Below are 20261 nucleotides of genomic sequence, written 5' to 3' on the forward strand. Positions count from 1 at the left end.
CCCCATAAGTTTGTTTTCTTAAAATATTCTTTCATATTTTGTCCAGATAGTAAAAGGGTTCCAGATCTGTCTAATGCTTCTGGGTGGCGAACCTTTGTTCAAACCAATCTTGTTTTCATCATTTCTCTGGGCTATGTAATGCCCTCATGCCATCATCTATCCAAGTCGGAACACAATTTGCCATTGCCTGCCTTCTCCCCTTTTCACCTTGTAGGTACTTTAGAGTATTAGTTCCATAAGCATATTAGGCAACTTGCTGAGGGCAAAACTATATGCCTACCTTCAGTGGCTATACTCTTGAAATTACCTAAGAAGATTTTGACTCTTTTTCACTGATATTTCTGGACTTCTCCCTCATACCTGCACAGATAATTTTTGGCCATCACTTGGTAAAGCTGTCACAATCTTTGAGGGGCGGTTCCTCATTTGGTTTTCTTATGGAATCCCTGTTGTAAAGCCCCTTTTCAATGATGTCCTGAATGATTTGGCAAAGAGCCACTCCCACGTGTCTTCTTTGAGGACAAATAAGCCTTAGGTTTATGTGGGTCATAGGTGAAGTTTTTGTCTTCTAATAAATACAACACATATTTTACTAAATTTCTCTAAAAGAGCAATTGGTTATGGGGGCTTTTCCCCCATATTTATGTCATCTCCTCTGGCCTTCAATATCACATCAGATTTTTCTCTTCAAATCTGTTGTCTTTATTTTAGGATATCTACCTATTTGCACTGGAATTTCTCTCTCTTAAATATATTTTCCATTGTTTCTATTGCTCACATTATGTCCCTCCACTTATTCTGATAGTAAGCATATTTCTCAAACTACTTGTACCCACAATTTGCATAATTTTTGCAGATTGTTTCTCTAATACCAAAATGAAATATTGCAAGGGCCCTTATTCCTTTCTATTTATGTATTAATAAAATCTATTATCTTTGTATCAGTGATCATAGTTGAAATCTTGAAAACCTGAGGAATTGGAACTGCTATAATTAACAAATCCCCAGACACTTCACTGTGGTATGTTTGCCTGTGTGTGTCTGTGTTGTGCAGGGGCGGTTACCACATAAATAAGACTAAGCATAGATCAAAACAGGATGTAATGGGCTCTGCCCTGGGGTCATTGCTTTGCTAATAATATTCTGACATGTGGACAATGTTTGCTTGTTGGGTCAGCAGACACCAAGCTTCTCATAGGTACTGACAAGACTGCTGGGAAGCCCAACCCTAGCACCTCTCTGGTGGCCTGTCCCCTTTAGGCGGACACAGTGTGTTGTCCTGAAAAGGAGGCCACCCCTCACCCCAAGGAAAACAAAACAAAGCAAAACAACATGGTAAACTGCAGTCACAGGTCCAGGTCAACAAGCAAATGGCTGATTCAAACCATTTCATCTAGGACACAGCAGTTGAAAGACCACTTCTCAATGCCAAATACTCACTTGACCTAATACTCTACAGATTATTTGGGTCAAAATACCCTGCCTTACTCTGAAATTCAAGATTGCAACCTCAGAGCTCAACTCCTGGCCATACCCAAAGCCACCCACATGACTACCATGGCCCTCTAGATGTTTAGAATTTTTCAATATTCTAGCCAATGTGAGTAATGCTGGGAGTCTCCAAAATGCTCCTCCAAAAGAACACCCTTCTTCTTTATCACTATCCTGAACAAACTTAAAAATGACATAAATATAAAAGAAAATATCTCATTTTTTTCCTAAAAGACACTAAGTCAAGGAAGGTTGTCTGAGAGTACAAATCAGGTTGCATGGCATCTCACTTGCAGGCTTCTCGGGAGCACAGCAAGCAGCTCCTGGTGGAGGAGAAGGAGGCTGCAGCCCAAAATCCGCATTAAGTTCTCTCCTCTCTGTTAATGATCAGGTGAGTAAGAGGGCAGAGAGAAGCCCTTTGTGTCTAGGGAGAAGCTCCTGCTCCCGGAAGCCTGCTCTCCGTCTGACTCCACCTCAGATGTGAGGAGCAAATGGATTAAAAGTTACAGTAGATATATTTAGACAAGTTCCAGACACATAATAAGGACTCTATAAAATCAAACTGTTTCTTTTGTTTGTTTCTATGTTCTGCAGCATTAGATACAAACTACCGCTTCTTGAAACGATAAAGTCAAGGTTAAAATGCTTTGGTTTGCTGTAGCTTTCAGGTCTATCTTTGATTACCTTTTAATTCCATTAACAGATCTGGCCTCTTTGAAATTTTGTCTTTTTAGCCTTATACAAGAGGGAAATCCTACCATTTGTGACAATTTGGGTGACCTGGAAGATGCTACACTGAATGAAATAAGTCAGTCACAGAAGAACAAATACTGCATGATTCCACTTATGTGAAGTATCTAAAATAGCCACACTCATGGAAGCAGAGAACAGCATCATTGTTGCCAAGGGATGGGGCAAAAGGAAATGGTGAGTTGCTCAGTAGGTATAAAGTTTCAGTTATGCAAAATGAATGAGTTCGAAAGATCTGCTATAAAACATACGGCATATAGTTAACAATAAGAGATGGTGCACTGAAAATGTTGTTAAGAGGGCAGATCTCACGTTAAGTGTTCTCACCATACACACAAACACACACACAGAGGGACACAAAGAAACTCTTGGAGGTAACGGATATGTTTATTAAGTAGATTGTGGTTGGATTTTATGGGTACATGTGCATGTCCAAACTCATCAAATTATATACATTAAACGTGTGCACTTTTTTTTGGTATGTCAATTATACCTCAGTAATGCTGCTAAGAGACAAAATAACAGAAAAAGATTCTGTCTTTTCTTGGAGCAAATTAGTAGTTTCTTAGACAATTATCTACATTCTACTATACTTAGACTTTCAGAGGCTTGACATTTCTTGTGGGGAGGAACTTTACAAGAATTTGCCTTTGGTCTATCAATTTTGTTTTTCTGTTGTTCATTTTACTTTTTAAAAATTGATATCTGTGATTGTCTCTATTAATTTCCCCATTTGACTTCTTCAGGTATTTATTTTGTTATTTGATTTCAAACTTATTGAGCTAAATTCTCATTGGTATTTTATTATGTTTTCTAAAAGTTTGCAATTAATGCAATCTATTTTCCTCTATGTATTGCTTCTATCACATAGCAATTTGTAAAACAATGTACTCTCATTTTATAATTTATATTGAAAGAGTGAAAACCAGTCCAAAACTAAAAGATTGAAGATTAGCTTGGATTGAAAAAGAAAAATGCAGTCCCATCATTAACTAGCCTTGGAGACAGACACAGACAAAGCCAGAGGCAAAGTCCACAGGCAGCTATGTACCTCCCAAATCACTCAGCGGCTATGAAATGGCGTAACAGCCTGGAGTGAATATACTTTTATATCAATGATGCCCCCAGACACACTTTGCTGTTCCTATTTAGTGGAAGGAAGTCTCAACTGGCTGGAATTCTCTAAAATGTATTATATTTATTATTGCTTTGTTTTCACTCTATCAATGCAATTGTCTTCCAAGTATTTCCACTTTAAGAAGCATAAGTCCTAAATCAAAGTATTGAGTGAAAAAAAGCTCATTTCAGAATGGAAGTTAGTGCTTGCCATAAAAAAATGGGGACAAAAATTATGTTTGGGTTATTTTATTATGTGCCTAGAATTCCTTGTTTAAAACTTACTAGTGTATGCTATATTTTTTATTAAAAAGAAACTTGTGATCCCTCATCTTGAAGTCCTGGAAAACAGCCCTGGACAGATGGCTATTTCTTTACAATTGCATCGAACCCACTTATGGAATATAGAGGTAGAACTGTAAGCAGAGGTGAGGATGACGTTTCAAAAGTCTAGAGAGAGTTGAACTTTTCAGCTTAAAAACCAGCTGCAGCCTTAGAAAATTGCCATAACAAATATTGCCAGAGGCTTCCTGTAGCCTCCACAGCAAGTCGATGGAGAATTCTCTCACAGAAGTCCGTATCTGAGTCACAATTCTGATCTGCCTTCCTATATTGAACCCACAAAAAATAAGGCTCTATCACACGCCCCCTCCCCGCCCTTTATTTTTCTTCAGAGTTGCTATGGCAATCTTTCAAACTCTAATTTTAATCCTAGTACATAGACTGTCATTATATACATTATCAAATTTGAAGCTGTAAATCCTTCAGTCAGAATCACTAGCTGGATGCCCAAAATGAAAGTTTGTAACATATATTCAAATTTTTGAAGAAATGAGCAAGTCTACTGGTAACATAGTTAATATCTGGGCTAACTACAGACCTGTACACAATCTACTCCCATCCACACTTCCTCCAAACCAGGGGTACCCAGTCTTTTGGCTTCCTTGGGCCATATTGGAAGAAGAATTATCTTGGGCCACACATAAAATTCACTACCTCTAATGATAGCTGATGAACTAAAGAAAAATGGCAAAAAGTCTCATAATGTTTTAAGAAAGTTTATGAATTTGTGTTGAGCTGTACTCAAAACCATCCCGGGCCGCACGTGGCCCATGGGCCACAAGTTAGCCAAGGTTGCTCTGAACTGTAATCCTGCTTCATTTGGTTATACATGAATTACCACATAAAGAATTGTAAACCATACCTTATTTTCTTCTCTTTTTGAGCTTCTTAATAAGCAGTATATTTTAAAACTACTTTGTGCCTCATAAGCATGTCTTTTTTACTCAATGGACATAGTTTTTCTGACTCAAGTTTTTTCTTATGATTTCTCTCTTCTTTTACCCTTCTTCCTCTCCACGTCTTTTCTTCTTCTTTGCTTCCTTTTCCCTTCTGGTCTTGGACCTCAGTAGCAGTTAGCATTGCTTTATCCATAACGGATCTAGAGTATGTCCACCGACATTTCAGCAGAGTAGTATGAATACTACTGTCTCAACTTGCTCAAACTCAGGCTGGCTAGCAGGAAAGCCCATAGGAAATTGGGAGAAAACCATGTTACTAGTTGATGCAGATCAGCTGGAAAGACATTCTCTCATCTCCAGTGTGACAGTCCCAGGATGCTGCTCAGCATTAGACCTTTGACTGGACAGGTACATTCCCAGATACCTATACAAATGCATTCTGAAATCAATATCCAATATGTTGTAATAGCTGGCAATAATGGTCTTCTTGGAACAATTCTCTACCATCTTCCACAAACTAATGAATATTTTATTGTTTTCAGGATGTCTTCTGTTTTATTAATTTATTTTCACTACAACAAAGAACTTTAGCAGTAAACATCTTTGCGCATAGCCTTTATTATCAGTTCTGTTATATCTTCATTTTCATACATAAAATAATGGGTCAAAGTGACTGCGTATTTTCAGTTTTGTCACTTGCAGCCAGATTGTTCTCTTCAAGTGTTAGAGTTTATCTCATTTCTTTTGGCAGGGTATCAGAGGAAGGTGGGGGGAGGGGGTGTTATAATTAGAGGGAGATAAACCCAAATCATGTAAGAGACTTTGTAGGCCCACAAGAGGAATTCAGGTGGATTATAAGTTCAATATAAAAGCATTGAAAGATTTTAAACCGAGGAGTGAGATAATTTTAAAAATATTACAAAAGCACTCTGACGTAAATTGTAGGGGATGGTTTTGGGAAGGCAAAGGTAGCAGCAGGATAATATAAGTTTTGTCAGTCATCTGGATCATGAAAATATTTTGAAACGAGTTCATAATATTACGAGTCCTCTGACATTTTTATTTAAAGTAGTTACACCAAAACTGCTGATTTAACCTGCATAATATACCATATGTTTGTTTTTAATAAATGGATTACAAAATAAATATCTATAAAACATAAAATGTTAAGTTACACTAAACAAACAAAATGAAATGCATTTACCAGGGCTTTCTTGGAGGAATCTGCTCATGATAACTCAGTCCAAAATAAATCTTTCTCTGTGTTATGGTCTCATGTCAAGCATCCTGCTTTTATTTTACATCATGGCACTTCTCTGATTTTCCTTTGTCTTTATATTTTCCTCTGTTTTCCTTTGAGCCATTTCTGGGTCCATCCTCCTGTCAGACCCAACCTCCAAGGCTGTCTGTTCCCAGTGTATACACAGGATAGAGCCCAGTGTGAGTGCAGGATGCACAATACACACAGCTAAGCATTTCTTAAATTAATAAATCAATATTGGTATCTAAGAGATTAAACAGAAAATCCTATTTGTTTCATTTCCATAGCTCTTAGAGAAAGACATTGGTGGACACTTTTCAGATCTAAATGAAAGAAATTACAGAATCCATCGATGTAGAAATATATTTTAGGCAAATGAATGCATCATTCTTCTATCTCATAAGCTAATATATCAGCCTTGGAAAATGGCTAATGCAGATCTATTTTAAGCTGGCAACATGTTTATGGTATATAGTCATTCCCTTGTTATTATTTGAATATAGTTTGTCTATCAAAAAATAATTTATTTTCTAAATGACTTTTGCCTCCAGTCAGCATTCTTCTAAACAGCTTGTCCAAATGGTTATAAGAAGATAGGAAATTATTATTGCCTTTGAGAAGTAAATAGAAATTAAAATATGTTGGACATATATATGATTGAATATGAGGACAACGGAAGAGTTCCAATGAATTTTTGATATAGTTAAAATTAAAATAGAGAACTGGGGAGTAAATACTTTGCCTAATAAGTCTATTGCTAAAATGTCGGAAAAGTTAGAATATTCATGTCTGTTGGCTGCTTCCTGATGCTTTTAACGAGACACCATGAGATAAGCTGAGGAGAGACTTGGCCAGTTACCGAGAAAGATGAAAGGAAATACTTTTGCTAAAAAAGGCTCTCTCTTTTCTAAGGAGCCGTTTAAAGTGACTGAGAAGCCAGTAATTTGCAGCTCACAAAATTGGAAAAACCAACTGTATGTTTAACCCAAGGAACAGGAGATATGATTCTAAAAGCCGTCCCAATTGTACCAATCTAATTAAGAGTGTCTCCTTCTTGCCCTAGCCTCTTATTTCATATGACCTCAAGATGCATACCATTAAATCGAGAGGAAGAGGATGGGCAAACACAAAACCCAGTAAATAAGAGACAGGATTCATCAGGTTTAAGAACTACATATATGATTAACTTGATGTAGAGTTTGCTAAAATAAAATAGATGTTAGCCTGCAAAAACTTAAAATTTTATTGCCACAAAATTACAAATTTTATAAATATTGATTGTTCAATTATTAACATTACCCTCTGCCCTATTTCTGTATCAGCACCCATGCAGCATCTCTGTCATGAACTTCAGATTAGAGCACTGAGGATCATGGATAAGGAAGAGGCTCTCAGAGTCTAAGGAAGACAACAGACAAGTGAGTTATTCATACACAGCAAAAAAAGAGGAAGCTAGGGGAAATCCAAGAAGGAGGCAGTGATCGCTAACTGCCATTGATTGTGCACTCTTTCTCATTCTTCCTTTTTCTAAAAAGATGTGTGCTTGTTCCTATTCCATCATCATGTAACCAAGGCCATGTTCAGTTCTGACACGCTGGTGTAAAACTCTTAGAGTTCATGCTTCCTACTGATGAGAACTAAATATGATGAACAAAATATGAAAAATTCCAACTACCTATAGACTGTGAAAAGTGAGCAAAAACAGATTGTGATGAGGAGTCAGAATTTGGAGAACCGATTGCATGAATGTTAAATTTCTTGTTAGATTTTTTTTGGTTTTGTTCTTGTGTTTACCCAACAGTTTTCTCCAGAGGTGGGTCCCATTAACATAGTGGCAGGCTGGTAGTGATGTCTAGAACTTCAGGAGAAGTCTCATGTCTGGTCAGAGAAACCAGCAAAGAAAGACCTTGCATTCCAGAGAGTACAGGAGAATCCAGAGCACTGAGAAACAAAGAAGGGCAACTCGAATTTTGAATATGAACATGCTCCAGTCTCAGTCTCACCCTTAAGCTACACATATATAAGACAGACACAAATCAACACAACGAAGGCTTTGAGAGGTGATGATTACTTGAACCTCAGGGCAAGTTAGTTAAATTAACACATGAATTATGCATGTGTAGAACAGCACAAGCCAAAATAGCAAAAGTTAGTAGAAGTGAGATTTAAACCACTCATAAGGTCTCACATTTTTTTTTGAATGTACTAAACAGCAAACATTTTGAGAACTGACCAGAGATTTGAACTACCACCCACAAAATGCAAGACAGAAATTATGGTCTAAATCTGACCAGATTGGTTTCTGGCTAAAACTGAAATATCAACATTTCCGGAGGATTCTAACAGGATGCATCATCTTAACATAATATTCAAATGTGTAGGATACAACCCAAAATTACAGAACGTACCAAAAACCAGAAAAACACGACCAAATCCCAAGGGAAAAGACAATCAACAGATTTCAAATATGAATAATAAAGATGTTGAAATTGTAACAGCAAGATTAAAGAGCTTATCAAACTATGCCACATTTGGCTGGGCATGGTGGCTCAACCCTGTAATCCCAGCACGTTGGGAGGCTTAGGTGGGCAAATCGTGTGAGCCCAGAAGTTCAAGACCAGCCTGGGCAACATGGCAAAACTCTGTGTCTACAAAAAAAAAAAAGAAAAAAAAAAAAAAAAGCCAAGCATGGTGGCATGTGCCTGTAGTCCCAGTTACTTGGGAGGCTGAGGCAGGAAGATTTCTTGAGCCTAGGCAGTGGAGGTTTCAGTGAGCTGTGATTGCACCACTGAACTGCAGCCTGGGTGACAGAGTGAGACCCCCCCAAAACTGTCACATTTAAAATTAAAAATAAAATAAGACTTTTCAGCAGAAACATTGAAACTACAATAAACAAAATAATTTAAAAACTAAAAAATACAATATCTAAATATTTTTAAGTCTCTAGTAGATCTCAGTAGTGCAACAGAACTAGCAGAGAAAAAATCAATGAACTTGAAGATAGTACAGTAGAAATTATGCAAACTGCATAACACAGAAAATGAAGAGACTCAGGGAACTGTTGGACAATATCGAGTAAATGTGTCATCATTAACAAAGAAGCAAAATAGAAAGAAATTGGGGCAAAAATCTAATTTAAAGAAATAATAACCAAAGTTTAACAAATGTAGTGAAACATATACATTTACTGATCCAAGTAGCTCAGTGAATCTCAAAAAACAAAAGTTTAAAAATCCTGCATATGTTATAATCACATTTCCCAAAACTAAAAATAAAGGGAAAAAATATTGAAAGCAGCCACAGAAAAAATGGCACTTTCTAAACTGAGTGACTGCAGTAAGAATGATCACAAATTTTTCATAAGAAGCACGGAGGCCAGGAGACAGTACCTTTAAGGGAAGGGGGGGAAAGCACTTTTAACCCAGATTTCTGTATCTCATGAAAATATACTTCAGGAATTAAGGCAAAATTAAGGAATTAGATGAAGGTAAACAAAAAGAATTTGAAACCAATTGAGCCACTCACAAGAAATTCTAAAGACCTTCAGACTGAAGGGAAGCTATACCAGAGGTCTAAGGAGATCTTCAGCAATGGAGGAAAAGGAATAGCATTGATAACTATCTGCTCAAGTAAGGAAGCCTACTTTTTTCTTGTAAGTCCTTAAAATACATGAGCTTTGATAACAAAAATGATAGCATTGTCTGTGGGGGCTTCCCATGTGTGTAGATGTGATATTTATAAAAGCTATATGTAGAGGTCAGTGGGAGGGGCCATAAGAGACTATATGGTTATAATTTGTTACGTTTTAATAAACTGATAAATTATTAATTCTAAATTTAACTGTGAAAGGTTACTATGCATGTTGTAATCCCTAAAGCAACTGGACAAATAAAATATGAAGAGTTCTCAACAAAAGAAACAACAAATAAATTAGGATGAATCACTAAAAAAAATTCAAATAATGTAAAGGAAGGCAGGAAAGGCAGAATAAGTTTTGAAAAACAGAAAGTGGTTAATAAAATAGTAAAACTAAATCTAACCATATTAGTGCTTACAGAAATGTTAATAATACGATGAATAAAAAGAGCCTGGTACATGCTGCCTACAAAAAAAGTTGAATAAAATGAGACAGACAGATTGAAAGCAAATATCTGGAAAAAAAGTGGTTTATGCAAACCATAAGTGTAAGAAGGCCAGAGTGGTTGGAGAAGCTATATTCATATCACATAAAATGGACTTCAAGATAAAGTATATTACCTGAGATAAAGAATTTCATAATGATAGAATGGACAAGTTACTGAAGTATTATAACTATTTATAAATATATGTGCACCTACTAATAGAATTGCAGAATAGATTAAGCAAAAATCGACAGAATTTTGAAAGGAAGATAGCAGAAAGTTTTAACGCCCTTCTCTCAATGGTTGATAGAACAATTAGATTAAGAAAATCAGAAAGGACAAAGAAGAACTGACCACAACTATTGAGTACCTTAATCTTAATAGAAATGTATAAAAGATTTATACCTAACAATTGCAGAATACACATTCTTTTCATGGGTACAAGTTTTATTTGACTGACAGTAGATTGGTCATTGTCTGGGGATGAGGATAAAGGGAGAAACTGATTCCAAAGGTGTATATGGAAATCTTTATGAGTTATCAAAATGTTTGCTTTCTTCATTGCAGTGATAACTTCCTGGGGGTATACATATGTCAAACCTACTCAAATAGTACTAAAAATGTATGTCTGTTTAATATATCTCAATTACATCTCATGAAAGTTCTAAAAAATTTCCATCGTTGCATTTTAAATGTTGATTAAAATATTTAAAAGGTTTTTAAAGTTGTCTTATTAGTTGGCAATACATTTGTTTTAAACCTTTCCTTATTTTTTAGTTGTGATGATAGGATGCATACATATCCACTTTAAATTCCACAGTTTACACTCAAATACCCCAAATGTCTATACACTGATTGTACTAATGGTAGCCCATTTCCAAGCAGAAAATTATGATGAGTTAGATCAGGGTATTGTCTATCAAGGAGGTGAGAAAATACCATTTCCTTGATAAAAATTGAGGGTATATATAACAAAATAAGATTTTGGCTTACATTTGAATTGCAAGAGATACAGAGGAGGCAGATTCTTTTTGTCTGAACGATGGGAAGAGTGAGTTTGCCATTTAATTTAATTTTTTTGAGAAACCTGGGAAAAACAGGTATGAGGAGCTCAGTGATTAGCTTTGAGATGATTATTAGACACTTAAGTAAAGTTTAGAAGTATTTCCAGTCTGGAGTTGTTTGGGAAATACTCAATGTCATAAAATTAGATAACCAGGGAACTGCATTTACATAAACAAGAGTTCTGAAATCCAAGCCCTAGGGTCTCCAACCATTGAAAAGTTGGGGAGATAGTAACAACTGCAAACATTTCTAGAAATAACAAACAGTTCCAGTGTTCCTGGTTACACACACACACACCAGTCTTACAATGGGTATTACTGTCATCCCGATACATTTATATATTGATGAAAAAACTCATGGTACACTATCATCTATGGTAGATAGTACCCTATAATCTCTTTATGGTACCCTATCAACTCTTATGATAGCTATGGTACCCTATCATCCCTTTATGAGAAAACGCTGGCCAAGATTTCTAGGAAAGAACCTTCCATGAAGACAGAGAAAAAGCAAGACAAAGTGGGATCATGGAAGCCACACGCATGTCTGCTGGGGGAAGGAGGGATTGGGTAGGTCAAAAGTTGCTGATCGATCAACCGAGCGATGTTGAGACCTGAGCATTAAATTAGCCAAGGGGAGTCGCTAGTGATTTGACACAAGCATTTTCTTAAAATAAATAACGGCGGAGCGGTGATAAGGAATGAGCTTAGAAGAGATTGTGAAGAAAGATAGTAAAAGCAGAATTTGAAGCTCAGTTTCAAGAGCAGAGAAACAAAATGGCAGCTTGAGGGGGATATGAGTTCAAGAAAAGGTGTTTGAAAGATGAAGTATATTACTGTCAGTTTTTGTGTTGATCAAAATTATGTAACATAAAGGGATAAAAGTATCAATGCTAGGAGAGAGTTCCATTGTTAGGAATTACTTTCCTAAGTGAAAGAGAATGAGACCTATTGCCCAAAAGAGTAGTTTGGTCTCAGATGGGAAGAAGGACAGCTCCTTCTCAGTTAAAGGAAGGAGGGTGGAGCCAATTAGCTGGATTTCAGAAAGGTCAGTGCTGTAAGAGGGAGCTTTTGCCAGTTCTCTTCTGAATGCTTCTCTTTTCACAGTGTTATAGAAAATGAGTTTATGGGATGAATATGAAGATGAGAGAGAATCTGTGGAATTTTGAGAAGAGAGAATCCAACAAATTGCCTCTGGTGAGTGTTAAAGTAGTTTGAGTAGGATAATACAGTAGGATTCCTGGGACAGCACTTAAAACTCAATTATTAGTTATAAATTTACAGTCAATCCAGATTCCTATTGCTGCCATAACAAACTAGCACGATCGTAGTGATTTCATGTAACATAAATTTATTATTTTCCAATTCTGTAAGTCAGAAGACTAAAGTCTGATCAAATTCTAGGTGTCAGCAGGACTGCGCTTCATTCTATAAGCCCTAGGGGAGTATCTGTTTCCTAATTAGTGAAACTGTTGGCAGAATTCAGTTAGTTGCAGCTGTAGGACTGAGCTCCTTGTTTTCTTACTGGCTGCAATTTGACAACCATTCCCAGTTTCTACAAGTTGACCATATTTGGCTTGTACCTCTTTCCTCCATCTTCAAAACAAGCAAATGGTCAAGTACAATTTACATCATTGCATCTCCCTAACCACGAGTGGGAGGGTTCTCTGCTTTTATACATTCACATGACTAGATTGGGCCCACCCAGATAAGCCAGAATAATCTCTCCACCTCAAGGTTTCTAACTTTAATTACACCTACAAATTACCTTTGCCATGGCTCACATTCACAGATTCCTACAACTAGGATTGAACATCTTTGAGGGCCAATTATTTAGTCTGCCACATCCAGTCAAGATAACTGTGTGTTTTTGCAAGCTGCATTCATCTGCAGCGGTAGAGCCTGCAAAGGTAGGATTGTATACAATGATTTACATTCAGATTACTGCTGGGTAGGTGTGTGGCAAGCAGAGTGAGTCCTGACAGAAAACAGATATGTTCAGCATTTTCTGGGAAAGCTTTATTATTGAAGGGGCTATTTGAAAATATGTAGGTACAGAGAAAAAAACCTCAAAGTATGCTGTAACTGGTGGCAGTAGAATAATTCTACTTCTCACCCTGGAAAATGAAGAAGAAAAGATTAGCAGAATCTATGTTCCAGTAGAGTTGGAGCCCTTGAGAGAAACAGGGACCTTTGCCCAAGGGGTATAAACAGTTGAGCATGACATCCCGGGAAGTGAACTGGGAGATAAATACCTGACTTCACTCTCCTCTCTTCTTATGTTCTGCTGGGATTACCATTGGCTAAGCCCAACCATAAACTAGAGAGTAGTAGAGGTTAACTTCCCTGTAGAGATTGACCTCCGTGGCAAAAGTGGAAGAGGAAAAGGTAGCGAATGGGTCAACGTGGACAGAAGGTGCGTGTCCAAAGGGGAGATGAGAATATGAGTGGGATTAGGAGGGTGGGGTGAGGGACACTGACAGGGCGATAGATATAAAATGTGGGTCCTGGTAGGGCTAAGAGATTATTGGAATAAATCGGAAAGAAAGGCAGTGGCTGTTAGATAATAGGATGCTTGAAGTGACCCCGTGTTTAACATAATCACATTTGTATTACACAATCAGAGTGCCATTCGCCTTTAACAATGGAAAATAATGTTCCATTCAAAATATATTCTGCATGTTTTTACATGCTAATATAATGTTTCAAAATTAATTCAGATTTTCTATATATTTATACTCATACAACTACAAGAGATTATTCTTGAATGAACCTTTACATTTTCAAGTATTACATAAAATCTCACCCAAAATACTTAAAAGCATTATGATTATAAATTTCCAAACGCAACAAGTGCAGCACTTTCAGACTGTATCTCTTCGGTTGCTCTGTTTCTGTGCTCAGTTCCAATTCCAAGACTCCTGTATCAGCTCATCTCTCCCTCCAGAATGCCTCAGGTCTTGTCTTCCCTAGATTCCATTTCTTATTTCTAATACTTCGACCTTTCATAGCTCTACAGGTGTATCTAGTAATGTGGTGCTATAATACCCTTCCCTCTCTTGCCATTAATTATTTTTATAATAAATTTACAATTATGCTTTATTTGCCTGTACTTCTCTTTTATAATATTTCCAGATTTTCTTCAGCTTAATTTTCTCCTGTAGTCTTTGAAAGCACTCAAAATAGCTTATTCTAAAAACATAAATTCTTTGGTTGGTAATATACATCTCAAAGGCTCAAGATGATGGGGAATGCAAAGTTAGTTCAGTTTTCCCCTTGAATCTTGGTCTCAGGACTTTAACACATATGCCCACTCTTTGAAAACAAATGTTTTTATATGTGCTTATAGTAAACATAAATGAATACAATTAGGAAATAATGCTTGCCATTCAATATGTCAACCCCATAATTTAAAGGCTATTTATGAGGAATTTTCTATACCTACATATTTTCCCATGATGAATGCCTTGGCTTTGGTCCACTGCCTCTAGTGAAGAGGTGGGGCATTTTCTCTGGTGGATTCTTGATGTGAGAAGCTTTAGATAAATTTGGGATGGCTTCAGGGACAATTGGAAATATGATTAGAAAAGGACACATAATTTGAATACTGTTGCGAGTGTGAACACCTACCTCATCATTTTGCTGAAAGATCTGATCTTTTTTTCATGACCTTTCCTGAATCCTCAGCTCAATAACTGTATCATCCCACCACTCCATCCCCTCATACTCATTCCTATAGTCATTCTCTCTCTCTCTCTCTTTTTTTTTTTTTAGAGACGGAGCCTCACTCTGTCACCAGGCCAGAGTGCAGTGGCACCATCTTGGCCCACTGCAACCTCTGCCTCCAGGGTTCAAGCAATTCTCCTGCCTCAGCCTCCTGAGTAGCTGGGATTACAGGCGCGTGCCACCATGCCCAGCTAATTTCTGTATATTAGTAGAGACGGTATTTTACTGTGTTACCCAGGCTGGTCTCGAACTCCTGGGCTCAGGCAAACTGCCTGCCTCAGCCTCCCAAAGTGGTATTATTTATCTTCACAGAACTCTTCCATTTATTATGGAGCCGGAGTTGCATGAGAAAGTATATTGTGTAAACTTTCTTTAAATCAAGGTGGCATTTAGAATTTATTTTTTATATTGACTGTGGCCAAAAGACATATATTGATTTTCATTGTAATACCGAACGCTGGAATGCCTTCCTCCTTTTTATCATGTTTTCCTTTGGAAGAACAACAAGGCTAAATGCATTCACAATTTACTGCTCTCTTAAAGGAAGCAGTAATGAGCTTTCAGAAACAACCTTCAGAGCACACTTAAATATTTAGCAACATTAAAGCACTCTGTTTTTTTCCACTATAATTTAATGTCCCTACTATAAGAATTATCCATATACAAATGTTTAAATGTTGAGTACCTCTACATTAGTCACTGAATAAAGTTCAATTAAATAAATGTTTATGGAATCCTTATTATGTGACAGAGTATTCCAGGTGCCAATTAAAAGGTGTATAATTCATTTAAAATATTAAAATTCAAGAAAGAACATGAAAAATATAATAAGAAAGTATGTATACTCCCCTTCACCGTCACCACTACCACTACTTGTCTTACTGTCCTAGTTCATTACAGCTTTACTTCCACACCTCGGATTCTCCAGTCATCAGATAAACTGAGTATCAATGCAGGGAGCCACAGATGAAACACAGAGGTGGGGTCCTGACACCAGTGATGAATACTATTTGTGGTACATTTTCTCCAAAAGACCAGATGTGATGGCACAGTGGTTCCCCAAACCGCTGCAATTGACAAACAGGGTTTCAATCTTTAACCTATTTAATGAGGCTTACAAGGAGATCCAAGGCTATTAGAAGTCATTTTAAAGCCACTTTTGTGAAACTTAGCCTTTACTCAGCTTAAAATTTAACTGGGAAAGGATTATAAATTACCTTTTTTGTTTCCAAAGTGGATATTTTTCAGTTTTTCCTGATCACCATTCGTGCCCCATTTATAATAGGAAGCCAGTTTTTAGTGATGGAATTAACTGTCTCCTATCATATGCAAATCAAAGTGCTTCTCTTCCTTCATAGATGTTGAAGGGGTCAAATCTTAAAACTGGGCAAAACAGGCTGTAGCATAATAGCTATCTCAATGTCTAGCAAAACATCAACTCTTGAAATAATGTTGCTCAAACCAAAGGAAAGGTGAATACCTTTCCTCTGAGGAGCAGAGCTTATGAGTGCTAGAACAGTGCTGTTCTTCATACTCCCTGCACACCACGGTTTCTAACCAACACCAGGACCCCCAGCATTCCATGAGCTCCCCAGATTTTTCCAGTAGACTATATTATTCTTGAGTTACCAAGAAAGAGTTCATGATGCTTGCCTTTAGCGCTCCTCATGTGATGCATCCTCCAGCACGGACGGTGGGGAGAGCCCTTCCTGGAAGCAGACGGGTTGAGCAACAGCACTTGTGCACATGACCGGGAAAACCAGTGACTAAAAAGTCACTGCTTCATGATGCAACCACTTCTATGTCTGGATTTATCAATTTTTAAAAAATCTCTTCTCAATATTATACTGAATCTTCTTCCCTGCCACGTCTTAGTCAGTAACAGATTATAATACTGAAAGCAATAGGTCATTTATGACTTAGGAAAAATAGATTTCATTTAACTCCTGGGTCAGAAATCAAATTGCAAAGGGCTGGAGTGAGAGAGAGGTGTGGGTTTGGGAGGAAGTGAAGATCACTGATGAAGTAGGAGAGAGACATGACATGCTAGTGAAGATGGCAACCAATCACAGGATATATCTTCCAAGGCAGTGAAAGCTAGTGCGTTTTGAGGTGAATTAGATGGAGTTGATGGGAATCGGTTGAAGAACAGCAGGGGGATGAAGGGGATGAAGAGGTTACAGAGAGAAAAGAAAGCTCTTATGAGAAGAAAGCACCTTTGCTCAGGAGGGTACATGAGGGATAAGACAAATGAAGATACAAGATCATCAAAGAGATTTGAGAAACCTATGTGAAATCTCTTTGATTCTTGTAAGGTTATTCATAAATGTATAGGTCTGAAAGCATCTTAAAGGCATCTAAAATAACCTCCTGACAAATGTATGCATTTCTTCCTCAACATTCAGCAGAGTCAGAAAGTTTTCTCCTGAAACTTTTAGAATTAGAGAAATACCATCTTATGCGATATTACTGGCTGTTTCTGAGCAGCTCAAACTGTACAGTGTAGTAAATTGGGAAAAAATCCTCCCATTATACTTCTATTGATCTATCTCAATTTAATCCTCTAATACCACAAAAGTTATAAATCTTTCTACATGAAGACACATGCACACATATGTGTATTGCAGCACTATCCCCAATAGCAAAGACTTGGAACCAACCCAAATGCCCTTCAGTGACAGACTGGATAAAGAAAATGTGGCACATACACACCATGGAATACTCTGCAGCCATAAAAAAGGATGAGTTCATGTCCTTTGCAGGGACATGGATGAAGCTGGAAACCATCATTCTCAGCAAACGAACTCATCTGTTTTTCAGATATTCACTCCAAATACTTGACTTACTTGAAGATAATTATAATTCTTACTTTGGTAAAGAAACTCATCCAAACATATCTTTTAAAATATAGCCTGCCACATCCAATCTGTTAACAGAGACACATCATCTGTTCATGTCATCTATTGTTTTCCACTGGACTGGAATAGCTTTAGAGTCTCTCTCTCCCTCCTACTCCCCCTTTCTGTCTCCCCCTGTCTCTCTGTGTCTGTATCTCTTTCTGACTCCTCATCTGTCTCTTCATTTCTCTCTTCTTCTTCTAGTGTATTCTGCCATGCCTGTATTTTTAAGTATGTGAATGTGTGTATAGTTAGATGATTTTCTTCACAGGGGAATCAATAATGACCACATTTTTCGTCAGGCATGTTCCTTTTGAACAATGTGCATGTCTACATGCTAATATTTTAGATCTCAGGATTTAGTAATGTCTATGATTGTGTTTTTATACTTAGATTTGAATCTCAAGTTCACATTATCTCTGACCTAAATGTTGTACTATCCAAAGTCATGAACATGATATCTAATAACACTTTACATTAGTTTCTCCCAGAAACTGCTGAAACTTCCTTCTATTGATTTTCTTTATCCCTTAACAGACAAGGTGTCCTGGATTCTACCAATATTACAGATATATCAGATCTGTTTTTCTCTCCCTCCTTTTAAACTTACATTTCTTGTCATGAAATCAATAAAACTCAAGGAAAATAGATATATTTATTAAAATCTTCATAACAGTCATCTGGTGTCAAAGTAGAATCCATGTATTTTACATTAAACTATATACCAGAAAGCCAAATCCTGCTATTCACATTATACTTCAAACTTTGTCAAATCCCAGCTTCACATGAAAATAATAAATTAAAGTTTAATATTTAACCTGAGAACATTTTGGCTGTTATCAGGATTTCATAGACATATTTGATACTTCTTTTTTATTGCTTATTCTCCTTTCTATAAAATGTTACCACATTGATTTTTTTCTATAAATTTTGCTAAGTACTTATCGTATTCAAGTCACTATGGTAAATTGTATGTGAAAAGGCAAATAAAACACTGTGATTATTCTAATAGGGTGCCCAGTATACTGCATTGGATATGTAAGTCAGTGATTATATTAGAAATACATTTATGCAATCATAACAATTATTTAATTATACAAAATAAGAAATTGCTGATTTTTGTCTGAAGACATAGCGATGTCAAAAACAGTCTCAAGAATATATATCATTTTAGTCGAGATCCCAAGAAGAGATGATAGTTAGATTTTTTTTGTAATATTATATAGATTTGCCATCTGGAAAGAATGAATATCTTTGGATTGTATCGTGTTAATAAACAGCTACTTTCCATATCTTCAATAATGATTCTTCAGCCATCACAAAAGAAAGTATTTCATGAACCTATAGGAATAAGCAAAATGCTCTTTCCCTAATTAGGTGCCTTAGATCTAATATATTATGGCATAAATGAAGAATATTCCTAAATGATCAGATACTTTCTTAAATATTTTCCAATTATTCTATTTTCCTTTCCTTGCCTAAATTACATGTTAAACACCTAATATTTCCCTGGCTTCTGATAAAAATCTGTTCCAACTGATATTTAAATTTAGGAAACATGAGCAAGATAACCTCTGACAACTTTTCTGGCTGTCTTTTAGTTATTTGAATTGCTGTGGTATTGAGAGAGGATTGAAGAAGGAAGACACTGCCAAATCACTGGGGTTTGTGAAAACTTGGTGAGAAATTTCTTCCTTGAGTCACGGCAGACCCAGGGAGTTGCCTAAGAATCTTCTGTGATGCGTTAAGCCAGCCAGCCTGTCAGTGAGCCTTAGTGTATTTTGGGTTATCCTCAGAAGAAAACAAAGATCCTACTATTGTCTTTTTAAAGCTCAAGTATAAACTTCCCATAGCTCTTCTCTTTCTTTAAAATCGATATTCCTTTGATTTTAAAGACATGCTGTAAATACTCTCCCTAAGGTGCTTTTGCATACTTATATCCAATAACTATTTTCATTTCTTTATACAGCTATCTGTGTTCAGGACTCCATACTGGATCTGTTAAAATGTTTCTCCACATGAACAAGAAGATATCAGTGATATGTATCTGAGTCTGTTGTTAGAGAGTTAAGTGCAGAGTTTGGCAAAGTGAATGTTCTTTTTCTATATCTTCTAAATATTTTTAAAATCCTTTATAATAATTGAGGTTATAGGTAATGCATTTTATATTTATAATGTGCTTTAGGGTTATACCGATTTCATTCAACTGTCATTTGATCCTCATACCAATTATATGGAACATTTTATTTGTATTGAATACCAACTTCAGTTTTACCAAAGAAACCTAAGATTAAAACAGATAAATGACTTTCCAAACCTTCCCAGTTTACAGAGCTTGTAGGTTCCAGAAACAAAATTCTAAATGAGAGCATGTGATTTCAAATCCTATAGCCTTTATTCAGTTTCAAGCTGATTCCTAATTGTATACATGGTCATTTTAAGCATAATGGAGCTCCATAATGAGCTATGATATTAAAAGCTGCATTTATTCCACTAGCACCAAATATATATACATATATATATATGTATATATATATATATATATGTATATATATATATATATATATGTATATATATATATATATATATATATG

The 20261-nt window shown here is 36.4% G+C and overlaps 1 long non-coding RNA gene across 1 annotated transcript; it reads left to right on the top strand.

Annotated features, from left to right (window-relative positions):
- The first annotated feature begins 3666 nt into the window (after window positions 1–3666).
- On the top strand, window positions 3667–19473 carry LOC107985136 (uncharacterized). Its single transcript, XR_001753490.2, has 4 exons — window positions 3667–3785; window positions 7182–7277; window positions 12152–12241; window positions 19269–19473. It is a non-coding gene; the product is annotated as an uncharacterized LOC107985136 (long non-coding RNA).
- Window positions 19474–20261: the final 788 nt, after the last annotated feature.

The sequence above is a fragment of the Homo sapiens genome, chromosome 18, assembly GCF_000001405.40.
Source record: "Homo sapiens chromosome 18, GRCh38.p14 Primary Assembly".
In the NCBI taxonomy this organism is placed as follows: domain Eukaryota; kingdom Metazoa; phylum Chordata; class Mammalia; order Primates; family Hominidae; genus Homo; species Homo sapiens.